The 17,869-nt window shown below is 45.4% G+C and overlaps 1 long non-coding RNA gene across 2 annotated transcripts, besides 3 other annotated features; it reads left to right on the forward strand.

The window, feature by feature from the left end:
• Window positions 9,940-13,413, forward strand: LINC02851 (long intergenic non-protein coding RNA 2851). Of its 2 annotated transcripts, none has more exons than NR_184133.1 (3): window positions 9,940-9,999; window positions 10,086-10,286; window positions 13,175-13,413. It is a non-coding gene; the product is annotated as a long intergenic non-protein coding RNA 2851 (long non-coding RNA). The 2 variants fall into 2 exon arrangements; NR_184134.1 differs by having other exon boundaries at window positions 9,940-9,976.
• Window positions 9,952-10,041: an enhancer, noted in NCBI's record as "active region_28199". NCBI's record gives its function as "activates an Ori minimal core promoter by ATAC-STARR-seq in GM12878 lymphoblastoid cells {active_cell/tissue: GM12878}" and the evidence as "EXISTENCE:reporter gene assay evidence [ECO:0000049][PMID:35858748]".
• Window positions 10,092-10,221: an enhancer, noted in NCBI's record as "active region_28200". NCBI's record gives its function as "activates an Ori minimal core promoter by ATAC-STARR-seq in GM12878 lymphoblastoid cells {active_cell/tissue: GM12878}" and the evidence as "EXISTENCE:reporter gene assay evidence [ECO:0000049][PMID:35858748]".
• Window positions 12,928-13,142: a silencer, noted in NCBI's record as "fragment chr9:6707295-6707509 (GRCh37/hg19 assembly coordinates)". NCBI's record gives its function as "represses an EF-1alpha promoter that drives an FKBP-Casp9 reporter gene in an ReSE screen in K562 erythroleukemia cells {active_cell/tissue: K562}" and the evidence as "EXISTENCE:reporter gene assay evidence [ECO:0000049][PMID:32094911]".
• Window positions 13,414-17,869: the final 4,456 nt, after the last annotated feature.

The following is a 17,869-nucleotide window of genomic DNA, read 5'->3' on the forward strand; positions in this document are numbered from 1 at the left end:
AGGCATGTAGCTTTTCATCTTGTAGCCATCTTGTTTAGGAACCAAAAGCGCGAGGCAGTTTTGCGTGACCCAGTTCACAGCTTGACTTTTCTTTTTGGCTAAATGAGTTTGGGGTCCCAAAATTTAATTTCTTTTCACAGATTAATGCCATTATAAAGAGCTTGGTGGAGGGAGCTTGCGCTATCTCTTTTGCCCTTCTATCCCCACCATGTGGAACAAAGTGTTTCTCCCTTTTGAAGGATGCAACCTTCAAGGCATCATCTTGGAATCAGAATTGCCAAACCTGCCAGTGCCTTGATATTGGACTTCTCAGCCTCCAGAACTGTGAATAAATTTCTGTTTATGAATTATCCAGTGTGTGGGATTCTGTTATAGCAGCACAAAGAGATTAAGACACATTTAAATTTTAGGATTTACTCAATGCCTTCTGCTAGACTAAGATCCTTTCTGCAAATGCAAACACATTTTTTACTTCCTAGGCTTTAATTTAGGTTTCCTTTAAATAGAGTGAAATTACCCTATTTTTATGTATTTCCAATTACTCAAAAGTTAGATGTGGGGCAGTAAAAGAGTTAAATTCATTAACAGACATCTGTGGAGCAGCCTTTAGTTAACTTAACTTGAATGAGATAGCGTCCACTGTAACACAGATGTTTTGGTCAGTAGCTGGGTGTTCAAATGCATCCTTTCTATGGTGGGTCCCCCGAAAGGTTACAGACTTTTAACAATAATGCATCAAGTAATTAGGCATATATTGAAGCAATTAAGTTGATGATTCTGGTCATCAAATTGTTCCTGGCATCCTCAGAGGAAATTCAGAGGCTTGTGAATCAATACAAAGGAGGTTTTAAGTTAATAGCAACACAGGGGGATTGCACAGGTTTATCTGGACATTCATTTTTTCCAGTGGTCATGCTTTACTGTGGTTATATTTATGCTACATGGCCCAGTGGAAAGATGCAGCCTGTACTTGGGGCTTTTCAGAGATACCCGATAAGGCAATATTTACACCCAGACTTGGTAAGAGGGACTTGCACTTTACTGGCCCCTACATATCACAAACATAAGTTTAAAAAACAAAATTTTAACACATAAAAAACATAATTGAAGATCGAATTGGCTTTTGTTAGAGATTTATTTAGGCAACATCTCATCTAAAGATTTAGCAAAGGTGCTCTGTTGGGCATGGCAGAACAGTTTGTAAACGGTAGTATGAACAGGAACAAGGAAATAGAATAACACAAAAAGCAGAATGGTTAACATCAAGTTACTTCAGGTTACTTTTTTTTTTCTGAAATGGAGTCTCGCTCTGTCACCCAGGCCAGGCTGGAGTACAGTAGCGTGATCTTGGCTCACTGCAACCTCCGCCCCCAGGGTTCTAGCGATTCTACCTCAGCCTCCCAGGTAGCTAGGATTACAGGTGCTGGCCACCATGCCCAGATAATTTTTTTGTATTTTTAGTAGAGACGGGGTTTTGCCCTGTTGGCCAGGCTGGTCTCAAACTCCTGACCTCAGGTGATCCACCTGCCTTGGCCTCCCAAAGTGCTAGGATTACAGGAGTGAGCCACCGCGCCTCGCCCAGGTTACTTTTCTTGTAAGAGTTAAAGTAGAGAGGACTGCCTTATCATGCTGGCTAAAACTGGCCTGTTTAGGGATTTTGCTGTCATATCTCTCCTGAGTTCTTTCTTTCTTTTTCTTTTCTTCTTTCTTTTTTTTTGAGAGGGAGTCTTGCTTTGTTGACAGGCTAGAGTGCAGTGGTGCAATCTTGGCTCACTGCAACCTCCACCTCCCAGGTTCAAGCGATTCTCCTGCCTCAGCCTCCTGAGTAGCTGGGACTACAGGCACGCACCACCACACCCAGCTAATTTTTGTACTTTTAGTAGAGACCGGGTTTTACCATGTTGGCCAAGATGGTCTCAATCTTGACCTCATGATCCGCCCGCCTTGGCCTCCCGAAGTGCTGGGATTACACGCGTGAGCCACCACGTTCGGCCTATCTCTCCTGCTTTCTTGAAAGGTCATATAAACTTTAGCATGAGTGACTCCATTTTGATTTGGTCTGGTCTGCTGGGGCCTAGTGCAGGAGGTCAGTCTAAAACAATGGCCTCCTATAAATCTCATTTAACACATACTAAACTGCTAAAGCCTTAGGAAGATAAACACTTCAGCATATCTCTTGCTTTATGTCCTCAAAAAAACCCACAACTGTGTCCAAATGCTATAAATGCTCCTCAGCTGTGCATGGCCAATGTCAGAGACAGATACTACTTCAAAGACTGGAGAGGGTTTGAGTGGCAGAAGTACTTAAGCAGGAGACTGTAAAAATTATTTTGTCGGCCGGGCGCGGTGGCTCATGCCTGTAATCCCAGCACTTTGGGAGGCCAAGGTGGGTGGATCACGAGGTCAGGAGTTCGAGACCAGCCTGGCCAGCATGGTGAAACCCCATGTCTACTAAAAATACAAAAAATTAGCTGGGCGTGGTGGCAGGTGCCTACAGTCCCAGCTACTTGGGAGGCTGAGGCAGGAGAACTGCTTGAACCCAGCAGGCAGAGGTTGCAGTGAGCTGAGATCATGCCACTGCACTCCAGCCTGGGTGACAGAGTGAGACTCCATCTCAAAAAAAAAAGAAGAAAAAAAAATTATTTTATCAAATCCTTCCTTTCAGATAGTGTGATTGCAAGGGATTTTTTGTGCTTCTCTTCATATTTCAATGAGTAGTTCCAGGATCACTCATGAATTCACTTAGCACAGTATTTACAACACCTTTGGTTGAGAAACTTTAGGAATATTAAGCAATTTATACTATCCTTAAAGTTGTATATACACCTGTCAAAATCTAATACATGAGGCCAGGCGTGGTGGCTCATGCCTGTAATCCCAGCACTTTGGGAGGCCAAAGAGGGCAAATCACCTGAGGTCAGGAGTTTAAGACCAGCCTGGCCAACATGGTGAAACCCTGTCTCTACTAAAACACAAAAATTAGCCGGGCATGGTGGTATGGGCCTGTAGTCCCAGCTACTCAGGAGGCTGAGGCAGGAGAATCGCTTGAATGGGGGAGGCAGAGGTTGCAGTGAGCCAAGATCATGCCATTGCACTCCAGCCTGGGTGACAGAGACAAGACTCCATCTCAAAAAAAAAAAAAAAAAAAAGATCTAATACCTGAAATATGGTGCTGTTTGCTGTTGGCCGGGCGCGGTGGCTCACGCCGGGCGTGGTGGCTGGTGCCTGTAGTCCCAGCTACTTGGGAGGCTGAGGCAGGAGAATGGCGTGAACCCGGGAGGCAGAGCTTGCAGTGAGAGGGAGATCGCGCCCCTGCACTCCAGCCTGGGTGACAGAGCGAGACTCTGTCTCAAAAAAAAAAAAAAAAAAAAAAATATATATGGTGCTGTTAATGCTGGCTATGGAATGGATGTTGAATGCTGAAATCATGTTAGTTTTATTTTTACAAAAATATTTAACAGGCCAGGCATGGTGGCTCCCACCTGCAATCCCAGCACTTTAGGAGGCCAAAGGGTGGATCATCTGAGGTCAGGAGTTCAAGACAAGCCTGACCAACATGGTGAGACCCCGTCTCTACTAAAAATACAAAATTAGCTGGGCGTGGTGGTGCACGTGTGTAATCCCAGCTACTCAGGAGGCTGAGGCAGGAGAATTACTTGAACACAGGAGGCAGAGGTTGCAGTGAGCCAAGATCACGCCATTGCACTCCAGCCTGGGAGACAGAGAGAGACTCCGTCTCAAAAAACAAAAAAAAATATTTATTTACATTTTCCAGAAATTAAATAATATTGTTCATTTTTATTTGTCATTTTAACTCTAAATCTTTATATTCTTTTTATTATTTATTTATTTTTTTTGAGACAGTCTTGCTGTGTCGTCCAGGCTGGAGTGCAGTGGTGTGATCACAGCTCACTGCAGCCTCCAACTCCTGGGCTCAAGTGATCCTCCCTCAGCCTCTCAGAGCACTGAGATTCCAAGTGTGAGCCACTGTGACTAGCCCATGTTCATTAACCATAATATATTTTGCCATTTGGTAGTTCAGAAAATGTTAAAAGAAAAATAACTTTTAAAAAATATTGTGGGCCGGGCACAGTGGCTCACTCCTGTAATCCCAAGCACTTTGGGAGGCTGAGGCGGGTGGATCACCTGAGGTCAGGAGATTGAGACCAGCCTGACCAATATGGTGAAACCCTGTCTCTGCTAAAAATACAAAATTAGCTGGGCGTGGTGGTGCATGCCTGTAATCCCAGCTACTTGGGAGGCTGAGGCAGGAGAATCGCTTGAACCCAGGAGGTGGAGGTTGCAGTGAGCTGAGATCGTGCCATTGCACTCCAGTCTGAGCAACAAGAGGAAAACTCCATCTCAAAAACAAAATTGTGAAAGTAATTTTAATTTTTTAAAAGAACAATTTTATTTTAGTTGCCTGGGAAAAACACAAGTCACAGGAAGGATCTGTGACTGTGCTTTCCCAAATAATTTTAGTTTTTAAATTTTATACAGTAATGTTAATAATTAAGATTATTTGTGTTATATAAACTATATGTAGTTTACATTTGTTGAGGAAAATATATGAAAATTTGTAGACTCGGAACACAATTGCATTTTATATTTTGAGTCATGTAGATCAGGGATTGGGCAAGCTTTTTATTTTCTTTCTTTTTTTCTTTTTTTGAGATAGAGTTTCATTCTTATTGCCCAGGCTGGAGTGCAATGGTGCAATCTCGGCTCACTGCAACCTCCGCCTCCTTGGTTCAAGAGATTCTCCTGCCTCAGCCTCCTAAGTAGCTGGGATTATGATCCCACCCAGCCAGAACCTTACTTTTAATAAAGAACAGAATATCGGCTGGGTGTGGTGGCTCAAGCCTGTAATCCCAGCACTTCGGCTGAGGCGGGTGGATCACCTGAGGTCAGGAGTTCAAGACCAGCCTGACCAATATGGTAGAACCCCATCTCTACTAAAACTACAAAAATTAGCCAGGCTGGTGGTGTGTGCCTGTAGTCCCAGCTACTTGAGAGGCTGAGGCAGGAGAATTGCTTGAACCCGGGAGGCGGAGGTTGCAGTGAGCCAAGATCGCATCATTGCACTCCAGCCTGGGTGACAGAGCAAGACTCCAACTCAAAAAAAAAAAAAAAAAAAAAAAGAACGGAATAGACCAAGTGTTTGAAGACACTGCTAAGAAGGAAAAATTCTGGCCACGTGTGGTGGCTCATGCCTGTGATCCCAGCACTCTGGGAGGTCAAGGCAGGAGGATCACTTGAGCCCAGGAGTTTGAGACCAGCCTGGGCAACATGGCAAAACCCTGCCTCTACTAAAAATACAAAAAATTAGCTGGTCATGTAATCCTAGATCCTCAGGTGGCTGAGGTGGGAGAATCACCTGAGCCTGGAAGGTTAAGGCTGCAGTGAGCCGAGATTGTGCCTCTACATATCAGCCTGGGCAACCAGAGTGAGACCCTGCCTCAAAAAAAAAAAAAAAAAAAAAGTAAAACTTATATTGAAAAAATTTTAAAAAAAGAAAAATGTGAAAAAGTAGAGTCTCCTCATCTGAAAAATAGAATAATGGTAGTTCCTTTCTCTTTGTATGTAACGCTATCCATTTAAAGAACTTAGAACTCAGTAAGTACTAAAGGACCGTTAATTCATTCAACAAGCATTATTTGATCTAGGCACTTAGAATACATCAATCAACTAAGCTGACAAAGATTCTTCCACTTGCGGAGCTCAATCTTAGTGGAGGGATGGAGGAAATAAACAGTGCAAAATAAATAAGTGAAGGATAGAATATGCAGGAAGTTAAGTGCTATGGATGAAAGAAAAAGTACAACAGTGTAGCAGGGTCAGGAGTGCTGGGTGGTGGGTGGCAGTGCTGAATGGGTGATCAAGATGTCCTTTTTGGGTTTGTTTTTTTTTTTTTTTGAGATGGAGTCTCGCTCTGTCACCCAGACTGGAGTGCAGTGGTACGATCTTGGCTCACTGCAGCCTCCACCTCCTGGGTTCCAGCGATTCTCCTGCCTGTCTCCTGAGTAGCTAGGAGTAGCCTCCTGGGTAGCTGGGATTACAGGCATGTGCCACCACGCCTGGCTAATTTTTGTATTTTTAGTAGAGATGGGTTTTCACCATGTTGGCTAGGCTGGTCTCAAACTCCTGATCTCAGGTGATCCACCTGCCTCGGCCTCCCAAAGTGCTAGGATTACAGGCATGAGCAGCCATGCGCGGCCAAGATGTCCTATTTGAGAGGATAATGATAGCTGAGCAAAGGCCAAAGGAAATGAGGACATTAGCCCAAAAAATATGTGGGAAAGAATATTCCAGGCAGAGGGGGTAGCTAAAACAGGCCCTAAGAGAGAAGCATGGGGATCTTGTAGGATAACAAGGCCAGTGTGGTTTGAGGGAATGAATGGAAGGGGAGGGTCAGGCTGAGCTTAGAGAGGGTGCTCGGTATCCCATATGTGGCCCTCCAGACCACCCTTTACCTTCTTCCATCCTGCTGTGAGCCCAGGAGGGTGCCCTCTAGGGACTACACCCTTGCCATCTGGCTTTCTGTTGGATCTCCTAACAGGGCACCTACAAAAGAGAGCGAGTGAGGAGAGTCGGATCTGGGTATTCATCGCTCTTGCTCTCTCTAAGCAAGATGCTCACTGGCTGGCTGCATCCCACTGAAGGGTTCAACTCCTGACAGGTGGCTATCGCCTCAGTCCTCTCTGTTTTGGGGATCTGGTACCACTCAGTTCCTTGCCCCTTCCAGCGTAGGGATGCTATAAAGGCCCCGCTGTTACTAGACCCAAGGTTGTTGAACAATCATTCCTTTTCCTCTACTCACACCTTTTAAAATAACCCCTTTTAAAAATTCTCCTTAAACTATCCTAATTTGAACATGCCAGCTGTTTCCTGCTAGAACCATGACTAACAGAATTCAGGTCATTTCAGGCCTTGAAGGCTATTCTAAGGATTTTGGCTTTTACTCTGAATGAAACCAGAAGCCATGATAGTGTTTTCCGCAGAAGAGTGATGTGATCTGACTTAGCTTTTAAAACAGTCACTCCGGCTGCTGCATTGACACTGGGAGGCTGGGGCAGGGAGGGGAGTAGGATAGAGGCAGAGACAGCTGTTAGGGGGCTCCTGCAATGACAATACAGCTAACTAAGGTGTTCACTGTGGAGGTGGTTGAGAAAAGGTCAGATTTGGGACATGTTTTGAAGGTAGAGTCAACATGACGTCCTGATGACTGGAGGAATGGAAGAAAGCAGGCTTTGGCATAAACAACTAAAAGGATGGAATTGCTGCCATTTATAATGGGAAAGGCCATGGTGGAGTAGGTGTAGAGAGGAAGATCATGAGTTCAGTATTGACACATCAATTTTCAGATGTTTATTGGACATCTGTGTAGAGATGTCAAGAAGGCAGTTGGGGCCAGGCGTGGTGGCTCACGCCTATAATCCCAGCACTTTGGGAGGCCGAGGCGGGCGGATCACGAGGTCAGGAGATCGAGACCATCCTGGCTAACACGGTGAAACCCCGTCTCTACTAAAAATACAAAAAATTAGCCAGGCATGGTGGCAGGTGCCTGTAGTCCCAGCAACTCAGGAGGCTGAGGCAGGAGAATGGCATGAACCCAGGACGTGGAGGTTGCAGTGAGCCGAGATCATGCCACTGCACTCCAGCCTGGGCGACAGAGCGAGACTCCGTCTCAAAAAAAAAAAAAGAAAAGAAAAGAAAAAAAAGAGGGCAGTTGGATGTAAAAGTATGGCATTTGAGAAATGTATAACCAGAGATGAATGGCAGATAAAATTTAAACCCATGAGACATGGTAAGATCACCAAGAAAGTGAGGGTTAGATACAGAAGAGGACCATGAATTACACTTGGGGACACTCCAAATTAAAAGGTGGTGAGAAGAGAGAATTAGCAAAAACCACTGAGAATCAGGAGCAGAAACAGAAGTAGGGGAAAACCAAGAAAATGGGTGTCCTAGAAGTCAAATTTAAAAATCATGCTATACCAAGGCGTGATGGCCTGTGCCTGTAGTCCCATCTACTCAGGAGGGTGAGGTGAGAGGTGGAGGCTGCAGTGAGCCAAGATCAGGTCACTGCACTCCAGCCTGGGTAACAGAGTGAGACCCCATCTAAATTTAAAAAAAAGAAAAAAGGCCAGGCCCGGTGGCTCACGCCTGTAATCCCAGTACTTTGGGAGGCCGAGGTGGGCAGATCACGAGGTCAGGAGATCAAGACCATCCTGGCTAACACGGTGAAACCCCGTCTCTACTAAAAATACAAAAAAATTAGCCAGGCGTAGTGGTGGGCGCCTGTAGTCCCAGCTACTCGGGAGGCTGAGGCAGGAGAATGGCGTGAACCCGGGAGGTGGAGCGGTGGAGCTTGCAGCCACTGCACTCCAGCCTGGGCGACAGAGCGACAGTCTCAAAAAAAAAAAAAAAAAAAAAAAAAAAAAAGCATGTCAGGGAGAAGACAGTGATCTTATTTTGAACCAATGGAGGGAAAAACTGGGTGAAATGTCTTTGAGATAGCATGGGATATGAGTCATTGAGTCTTTGGTGATTATAGATAATTCAGTCACCATTATGTTTATGACTTGTTGCTCTTATCATAATCTCTCATCACCTTGTCTCCTAAGTAGACTTGGAAGCTCGATATTGTACACCTTATTAGGAAAATACTCAATTGTCTTCTAGTATAGGGAAAATTCGTCTTGTGTGTGGAGTAAACAACATTTTTGCCTTTACCACCATGAATATCATGTTCCCTTCATCCTCACTGTGTCCCTCAAAACCAAGAAAACATCTGGGAGTAGAGCTCGTAGAATGTTTCAAATAAGCTGAAATTAAGAGTTTTGTAGCATTGAAATGGAGTCTTTACATCAAAGTATAACTTGAAAGAAGAAACTTAGCAATTACCCTGCCCAAATCCATTGATCGTGTAATCTTTCTTAGCTGAGAACGTTACGGAACAAAGGCCCGCAAGGGCCTGGCAGTTGAGACACTTCAGGGCAGTTAAGAAAATTCATTTCACCTTTGCAGAATGTTCGGTACGTTTGGCCATCTGCCTCTGACAGCACAAAAGCCCTAAATTTAATACCCTGAAGAGCTAACGTTAAAGTGCAAAAACGAAGGTTGCAACAGCCCGACTTCGATACACTGAAAAGAACCAGGATACACCTGCACTTCTAATTTTTTCAATTTCAGCCCAAAGCCGGCCTGGTTCAAGCATTCCTCAGAAATTTCCAGCGCACGTTCCCCATCTGAAGGCTCACACCTGCGGGAGTAGAACACACTCCACACCGGTGCCGCCAACACACGGAATCTGCGCTCCCGGAAGCTTACAACATGGTCATTGTTGAAGTGCTCCCCTTGAATTGGTCGGGCGTGGTGGCGCGCTCGTGTGGTCCCAGCTACTCGGGAGGCTGGGGTAGGAGCATCGCTTGAACCCAGGAGGAGGGTGTTGCAGTGAGACGAGATCGCGCCACTGCACTCCAGCCTGGGCGACAGAGCGAAACTCCATCTCAAAAAAAAAAAAAAATCCTTAGGGACCGCCCAGAGGCTGGTGACACCTGCACTGGTACCTCCATGGCCGCGCCTCTGAGGTCACCGCTCCAGAAGGTCCCAGGCCGGCGTGGAAACCTATTACTAAGTGGGGCGGGTGGACACCAGCAGGTCCCGCCCTAAAGGAGTCCCGCGGCCGCTTGGGCCTCAGTTCCTCTTTCCTGCCCAAGTATCTCCCCAGCTCTGACGAAACAGGCAACTTCCAGACTGTGGCGTTAGCTCAGCGACTGCACTGAGCCGCCGGGAAGATCCTGGTCCCGTCAGCCAGCTGACCCACATGCGTTGCGGAGGCGCTGACCACCCCGCTTCGCTGGCTGGTGGGGGGTCACGTGAGGACCTCGGGGTCACGTGAGGTCCTCGGGCGCCGCAGGGAGGGCGGCATCCAAGTCTTTCCGCGCGTGCGCGAGCGTCCGCTGTCACTCAGGTAGAACAGTCTCAAATCGCACCGTTAGTACCGGCCCCCTTTGCCTTTCTACCTTGCCCCTCCGAGTCCCGACCCAAGATCCCAAGTAATCGTCTTCCCCCTGCACCAGGGCCGGGACCAGGCAGCCAAGAAACGCGGAGACAGACTACTGGGACTGCGACGTCTCCTCTCCTGTTCGCTGCGATATGCCGGCGTCGTGTTGAGCGGGCTGCGGACACAGACAGCCTGCCCGGCCCCACTGAGTGTTTGATCCCCATCCTCGCAGCTCTCTAGAGGACCAGAGTTGGCGGTGCAGCCCAGCGGAGCTTCGGTGGGTGCGGATGTCACTAGATGACAGACCCAGCCCTGTCCCTCAGCCCTCAGGGCCCTTTTCCCAAAGCCTACAGCCGCAGAAAGTTCTCTTAGGATATCCCCAGACCCTGCAGCCAGCTTTTCCATTTTTCCTTCCTGGGGCCAGTACTTTCTACAGCGTCTACAGCCAAAGTATCTTATCCCAGGAGGGCCTTTATAACCATCTGCGCCTTTGGGACTTTTCCCCACTTGTTGAAATCCATGGTCTTGGCCTTTCTAGTAGCCTGTCTCTCACGCTTAAGATAGTACATGCCTCCCATCTGTAAAAATGGATCATCCGCCGGGCGCAGTGGCTCACGCCTGTAATCCCAGCACGTTGGGAGGCCAAGGTGGGCGGATCACTATGTCAGGAGTTCAAGACCAGCCTGGCTAACATGGTGAAACTCCGTCCCTACTAAAAATACATATAAAAATTAGCCGGGCGTGGTGGCGGGCGCCTGTAGTCCTAGCTACTCAAGAGGCTGAGGCATGAGAATCGCTTGAACCTGGGAAGCGGAGGTTGCAATGAGCCGAGATCGAGCCACTGCACTCCAGCCTAGGTGATGGCCAGACTCTGTCTCAAAAAAAAAAAAAAAAAAAAAAGACTGTATACATTAAACTGATCCCACCTTTTTAGGCCTTTAGGACTCCACCTTAGGTTATCCTTTCCTCATGGCCCTTGATTATTAACCCATCCTAGGGCCATCTTCTCCTTTTCAGGGTGGAGGTTTGTTTGGCATGCTTTCCTCAGGCTGCTTTGTAGAAACGCATGATTCAAAACTAGGTACAGGCCAGCGCGGTGGCTCACACCTGTAATCCCAGCCCTTTGGGAGGCCGAGGGAGGCAGATTGCTTGAGGTCAGGAGTTCGAGACTAGTCTGGCCAACATGATGAAACCCCATCTCTACTAAAAATATAAAAATTAGCCGTGTGTGGTGGTGCACGCCTGTAATCCCAGCTACCTGAGTGGCTGAGGCAGGAGAATCGCTTGAACCCAGGAGATGGAGGTTGGAGTGAGCTGAGATGCCACCACTGCACTCTAGCCTGGGTGACACAGCGAGATTTTGTCTCAAACCAGACAAACAACAAAAAAACAACATCAGCTATAAATTTTCCTTTGGTGTATAGGTTAAGCACTTTTACCAAACAATGTTTTTCTTTGAACTGCCCTGGCATTATGCAATTCTGAACTCTTTGAAGGCTCCTGCTTAGACTTCAGCTGCCACCATGAGGAAGCCCAAGAAGCCTGTAAACCCTGAATATCTGAGTTAGGCCTCAGTCAGTTTAGGAAGTTTATTTTGCCAAAGGTAAGGATGCACACCCATAACACAGCCTCAGGAGGTCCTGACTACATGTGCCCAAGGTGGTCCCAGTACAACTTACTTTTATACATTTTAGGGAGACATCAATCAATATATGTAAGATGAACATTGGTTTTTTCCAGAAAGGCGTGACAATTTGACGCAAAGGCAGACTCGAGGCAAAGGCAGAACAACTCAAAGAGGGGAGTGGGTTTCCAGGTCATAGGTAGATAAGAGGCAAACGGTTGCATTCTTTTGAGTTTGATTAGCCTTTTCAAAGGAAGCAGTCAGATGTGTATCTCAGCGAGCTGAGGAATGACTTTGAATACAGTGGGAGGCAGGTTTGCCCTAAGCAGTTCCTAGCTTCAGTCTTCTCTTTAGCTTAGTGATTTTTGGGGCCCCAAGTTTTATTTTCCCTTCGCAAGCCCATATGGAGAACTGAGGCCCCTGCCTGAGAGTCCTAGCTGAGCTTACAGAACAACTTTCAGCCTTGGGAGTGAGGCCATTTGGACCTTCTTTGTTCTATACTTCAGAGAATGGAGTTATTTTTGAGATGTAGTCCATGAGTGTGGTTTGAGAAAAACAGCTACTAGCTGGTATGTTGCAGTTGGGTGGGAATGAATGGCAAGCCAGAACTGACAGAAAGGGAAGAATAGCCATGGTATCTCTGTGAAGTGGACATTCCAGAGAGAGAAGTGGGTATTCCAAAAGTGAGTGGGTTTGTGAGGAGCAACGAAGACATCCATCATGATGAAACAACAATAAGACCAAGTTTTGAGCTGGGGTGGAGAACAATTCTCTGGGTGGCCTCAGACCCCAACCCAGTTCTTCTTTTCATGCTTGTGGTTTAATTATTATTACTATTTTTTTTTCAGACAGAGTCTCACTCTGTTGCCCAGGCTGGAATGCAGTAGCACAATGTCGGCTCACTGCAAACTCTGCCTCCTGGGTTCAAGTGATTTTCCTGCCTCAGCCTCCCGAGTAGCTGGGACTACAGATGCATACCAACATACATGGCTAGTTTTTGTATTTTTAGTAGGGACAGGGTTTCACCATGTTAGCCAGGCTGATCTCCAACTCCTGACCTAAAGTGATCCAACTCAGCCTCCCAAAGTGCTGGGATTACAGGCACGAACCATTGCGCCTGGCCGTGGTTTTCAAGAATAACTGAAGAGCCAGGCGCGGTGGCTCACACCTTGTAATCCCAGCACTTTGGGAGGCTGAGGCGGGCGTTATCACCTGAGGTTGGGAGTTTGAGAACAGCCTGACCAACATGGAGAAACCCTGTCTCAACTAAAAAAAAAATACAAAATTAACCGGGCGTGGTGGTACATGCCTGTAATCCCAGCTACTTGGGAGGCTGAGGCAGAAGAATTGTTTGAATCTGGGAGGCAGAGGTTGCCGTGAGCCAAGATCGTGCCATTGTACTCCAGCCTGGGCAACAAGAGCGAAACTCCACCTCAAAAAAAAAAAAAAAGAATAACTATAGAATATGCTTGGAATGCAGTATCCTGAGATAGGGGAGGAACTGGCTGGAACAGCCTGGACTTTGTTTCTTTTTCCCCTAGAAGCGACATGTCCTCCAACATTTTAGCCCAGCAAGTCTTGTGGCCCCTGAGGATATAACCCAGAGAGGGCTGCTTTCTGGGATTTCTCGGCTGTGGTTCAAGTGGAGTACACACAGTTGAGACCCTGTCTGCCCTGGGCAGCTTTCTTGACCCTTGGGGGACCAGCTCACAATAAATCCTAGGCTTCTGTTGCTCCTTGCTGCCTATCCATAAGCAATAAACCTGCTTCAGCTCATTCACTCATGGGTAATTTTTGTATAGCTATTATAAAAGGGGTAATATGTAATGCTAAATACTCCAGTAACAATCATGGGGTTCCATTAAGTATAAATTGTGTGCATGGGTGTTGTATATCACTGGACTCAAGTTGATAACCAGTGTACAGTGAAACTGATTAACACTGAGTAGTACCTGGAAGGAATAAAGAATAGGTAGCGGCCGGGCACAGTGGCTCATGCCTGGAATCCCAGCACATTGGGAGGGATCACCTGAGGTCAGGAGTTCAAGACCAACCTGGCCAACATGGTGAAACCCCGTCTCTACTAAAAATTAGCCAGGCGTGGTGGCACACACCTGTATTCCCAGCAACTCGGGAGGCTGAGGCAGAAGAATCGCTTGAACCCAGGAGGCAGAGGTTGCAGTGAGCCGAGATCATACCACTGCACTCCAGCCTCGGTGAGAAAGCAAGACTCTGTATTCAAAAAAACAAAACAAAATAAAAAAAGAGTAAGTAGGTAGGTCCAGAGACTAAACATAGTGATATCTTGTGGCAGAAAGATGAATACCCATCACCTGTTTAGAAAGGCTTTTGCCTTATCCACTTACTTGTAGAGTCATCATACAGGAGATTGATAGTGATAGGAGGCAGGTAAATTTTTAGGCAGACAGGGATGGGTCCCTGGTGAAACTCAACCTTCGAGCTAAGGATAGTCTGAAGCCTGAAAACCAAGCTACAAGTTCTGGCTAAATCCACAAACCAGATTTAGAGATCCCATTCCTGTTTGGCATGCTCTTTCCTGATTGGTCTTTATCCTTCAGCTATTTTTTTATAATATATATTTATAATATATAATATTATATATTATATATAATTATATATATTATATATTATATATAATTATATATAATATTATATATTATATATAATTATATATAATATTATATATTATATATAATTATATATAATATATATATATGAGATGATGTATTGAATCATTACCTCCCTTCCCCAATTGGTCCTCTACACTTTTGTGCCTATTTCTGAATGGTGTTTTTCAAGCATACCCACAGACCAGTCAGCACACACTTCCCCATTTCAAGCCTATAGAAACCTCTAGACTCGGCCTCATCACTAGCAACCCACCTTTGGGTCCCATCTTGCTGTTGAGAGCTTTTCTTTTGCTCAACAAATTCTACTCTGCCTTAGTTACTCTCTGGTGTCCATGTACCTCATTCTTCTCAACCGTGGGACAAGAACTTGGAGCTCATTGAACTACAGTAGTAAAAGAGCTGCAACAAGATCTAATAAAATAATGCTTAAAGATACTATTATTAAATTACACTTAAAACATCAGGCATGGTGCCTCACACCTATAATCCCAGCACTTTGAGAGGCCAAGGTGGCAGGATTGCCTGAGGCCAGGAGTTTAAGATCGGCCTGGACAACACAGTGAAAACCTGTCTCTACAAAAAAATTTAAAAGTTTGGCCAAGTGCAGTGGCTCACACCTGTAATCCCAGCACTTTGGGAGGCTGAAGCGGGCAGATCACCTGAGGCCAAGAGTTCAAGACCAGCCTGACCAGTATGGTGAAAACCCGTCTCTACTAAAAACTCAAAAATTAGTTGGATGTGTTGGCAGGTGCCTGTAATCCCAGCTACTTGGGAGGCTGAGGCAGGAGAATCGCTTGAACCTGGGAGTTGGAGGTTGTAGTCAGCCGAGATCCCACCACTGCACTCCAGCCTGGGCGACAGAGTGAGACTCCATCTCAAAAAAAAAAAAAAAAAAAATTAAAAATTAGTAGGCTGAGGCAATACATGCCTGTAGTCCTAGCTATTCAAGAAGCTGAGAAGGGAGGATCACTTGAACCCAGAAATTTAAGATGTAGTGAGCTATGATCACTCCATTGCATTCTAATCTGGGGCCTGGGTTACAGAGTGAGAATATATTTCAAAAAAAATTTTTTTAAAATTACGCTTAAATTTAAAAACAAAGGCTCTTTCTCTTTTTTTTCTTTTTTCTTTTACTTTTTTTTTTTTTTTTTTTGGGACAAAGTCTCGCTGTGTCTCCAGGCTGGAGTGCAATGGTGTGATCTTGGCTCACTGCAACTTCCGCCTCCCGGGTTCAAGTGAGTCTTCTGCCTCAGCCTCCTGAGTAGCTGGGTTACAGGCGTGTACCCCCACGTCTGGCTAATTTTTTTGTATTTTTAGTAGAAATGGGGTTTCACCGTGTTAGCCAGGATGGTCTTGATCTCCTGACCTCGTGATCTGCCTGCCTTGGCCTCTCAAAATGTTGGGATTACAGGTGTGAGCCACCACCCAGCAAGGCTCTTTCATTCTTTTTTTTTTTTTTTTTTTTGAGACGGAGTCTAATTATGTGGCCCAGCCTGGAGTGCAGTGGCACAATCTCGGCTTACTACAACCTCCACCTCCCAGGTTCAAGCAATTCTGCTGCCTCAGCCTCCAGACTGGCTGGGATTATAGGCGCACACCACAATGCCCGGCTAATTTTTCTATTTTTAGTAGAGATGAGGTTTCACCTTGTTGGCCAGGATGGTCTCGAACTCCTGACCTCAGGTGATCTGCCCACCTCAGCCTCCCAAAGTGCTGAGATTACAGGCGTGAGCCACTGTGCCTGACTGGCTCTTTTTTTTTTTTTTTTGGGGGGGACACAGTCTTGCTGTGCCACCCAGGCTGGAGTGCAGTGGCATAATCTCGGCTCACTACAACCTCTGACTCCTGGGTTCAAGCAATTCTCCTGTCTCAGCCTCCTGAGGAGCTGGGATTACAGGCGCCTGCCACCACACCTGGCTACTTTTTGTATTTTTAGTAGAGACAGGGTTTCACCATGTTGGCCAGGCTGGTCTCAAACTCCTGACCTCAGGTGATCCACTTGCCTCGGCCTCCCAAAGTGCTGGGATTACAGGCATGAGTCACAGCGCCCGGTCTTCTTTCATTCTTAAATTAAAAAGTGTACACATTTCAGGGCAGGAACGGTGGCTCATGCCTGTAATCCCAGCACTTTGGGAAGCCGAGGCAGGCGGATCGCTTGAGCTCAGGAGTTTGAGACAAGCCTGGTAACATGGCAAAAATCCTGTCTCTACTAAAAATACAAAAATTAGCCAGGCCTGGTGGTGCATGCCTGTAGTCCCAGATACTTGGGAAGCTGAGGTGGGAAGATTGCTTGAACCTGGGAGGTTGAGGCTGCAGTGAGCTGAGATGGTGACACTGCACTCCAGCCTGGGCAGACCTGTCCAGACCCTGTCTCACACACACATACACACTATATATATAGAGAGAGTATATTATAATAATATTATTATATAATAATATATATAATATTATATATTATATAATATATATAATTATATAATATTATATATTATTATATATTATAATATTATATATTATAATAATATTATATATTATAATATTATATATAATATTATATATTATATATAATATTATATATTATAATAATATTATGTATTATATATTATATATGATGATGTGTTGAATTGCAACAGTGATTCTTGAAGGCATAAGTTAAATGCATAGGTCCTTTAATTATATAAATGCACAATATTAATTCATGTAAGTATCACATCACATCAAAGGCTGATTTTTTCAAAATATGTCTTAGTTCCTTAATCACTCCCAACATTCCAATAAAAAGCAAGCAGAAAATCCACTCTGCTTTTGATCATAAAGTGAAGACACAGAGAAAATTAAAGCCATAATACAAGTTAGAGACTGATGTTTTATATCATGTGCCCCCACCATGCATTTGCACCAGTTTTTTGCTGACGATGAAATATGAAGCAAACAGGCACACACAGATAGTGAGTCAGCCCAAATTAATGTAAACTATCATGGTAATAACTACTTAAAATTCATTAGGAGACCACAAGAAGTACAGAGCGTGTTCAGAAACCCAACAGCCAGCCTCCAAAAATAAAGCGAAAGAGAAAATATACAGGTCATTTCTTCTCCAGAGAATCAAGGGAGATTAAAATATTTCAACTGGGCTGGGTACAGTGGCTCAAACCTGTAATTCCAGCACTTTGGGAGGCCAAAGCAGGTGGATCACTTGAGGTCAGGGGTTCAAGACCAGCCTGGCCAACTTGGTGACATCCCATCTCTACTAAAAATACAAAAAATTATCTGGGCATGGTGGCAGGCACCAGCTACTTGGGAGGCTGAGGCAGGAGAATCGCTTGAACCCGGGAGGCGGAGGTTGCAGTGAGCCACTGCACTCCAGCCTGGGCGACAGAGCAAGACTCTGTCTGAAAAAAAAAAAATAAGAAAATCAACTGAAGGTAGACTGTTAGAATTTGTCACCCTTCTGTAAAATTTTTACAAGTATTTGCATGCTAAGAAGACAACTTTCAGAGTTGGCTAACAACGGTTAATGAGCATCCGCCAGATACAAAGCCCTATTCCATGTCAGCTGGGGTTGGTATTTAGAAATCCAAGGTA

The sequence above is a fragment of the Homo sapiens genome, chromosome 9 (genome assembly GCF_000001405.40).
Source record: "Homo sapiens chromosome 9, GRCh38.p14 Primary Assembly".
NCBI lineage: Eukaryota > Metazoa > Chordata > Mammalia > Primates > Hominidae > Homo > Homo sapiens.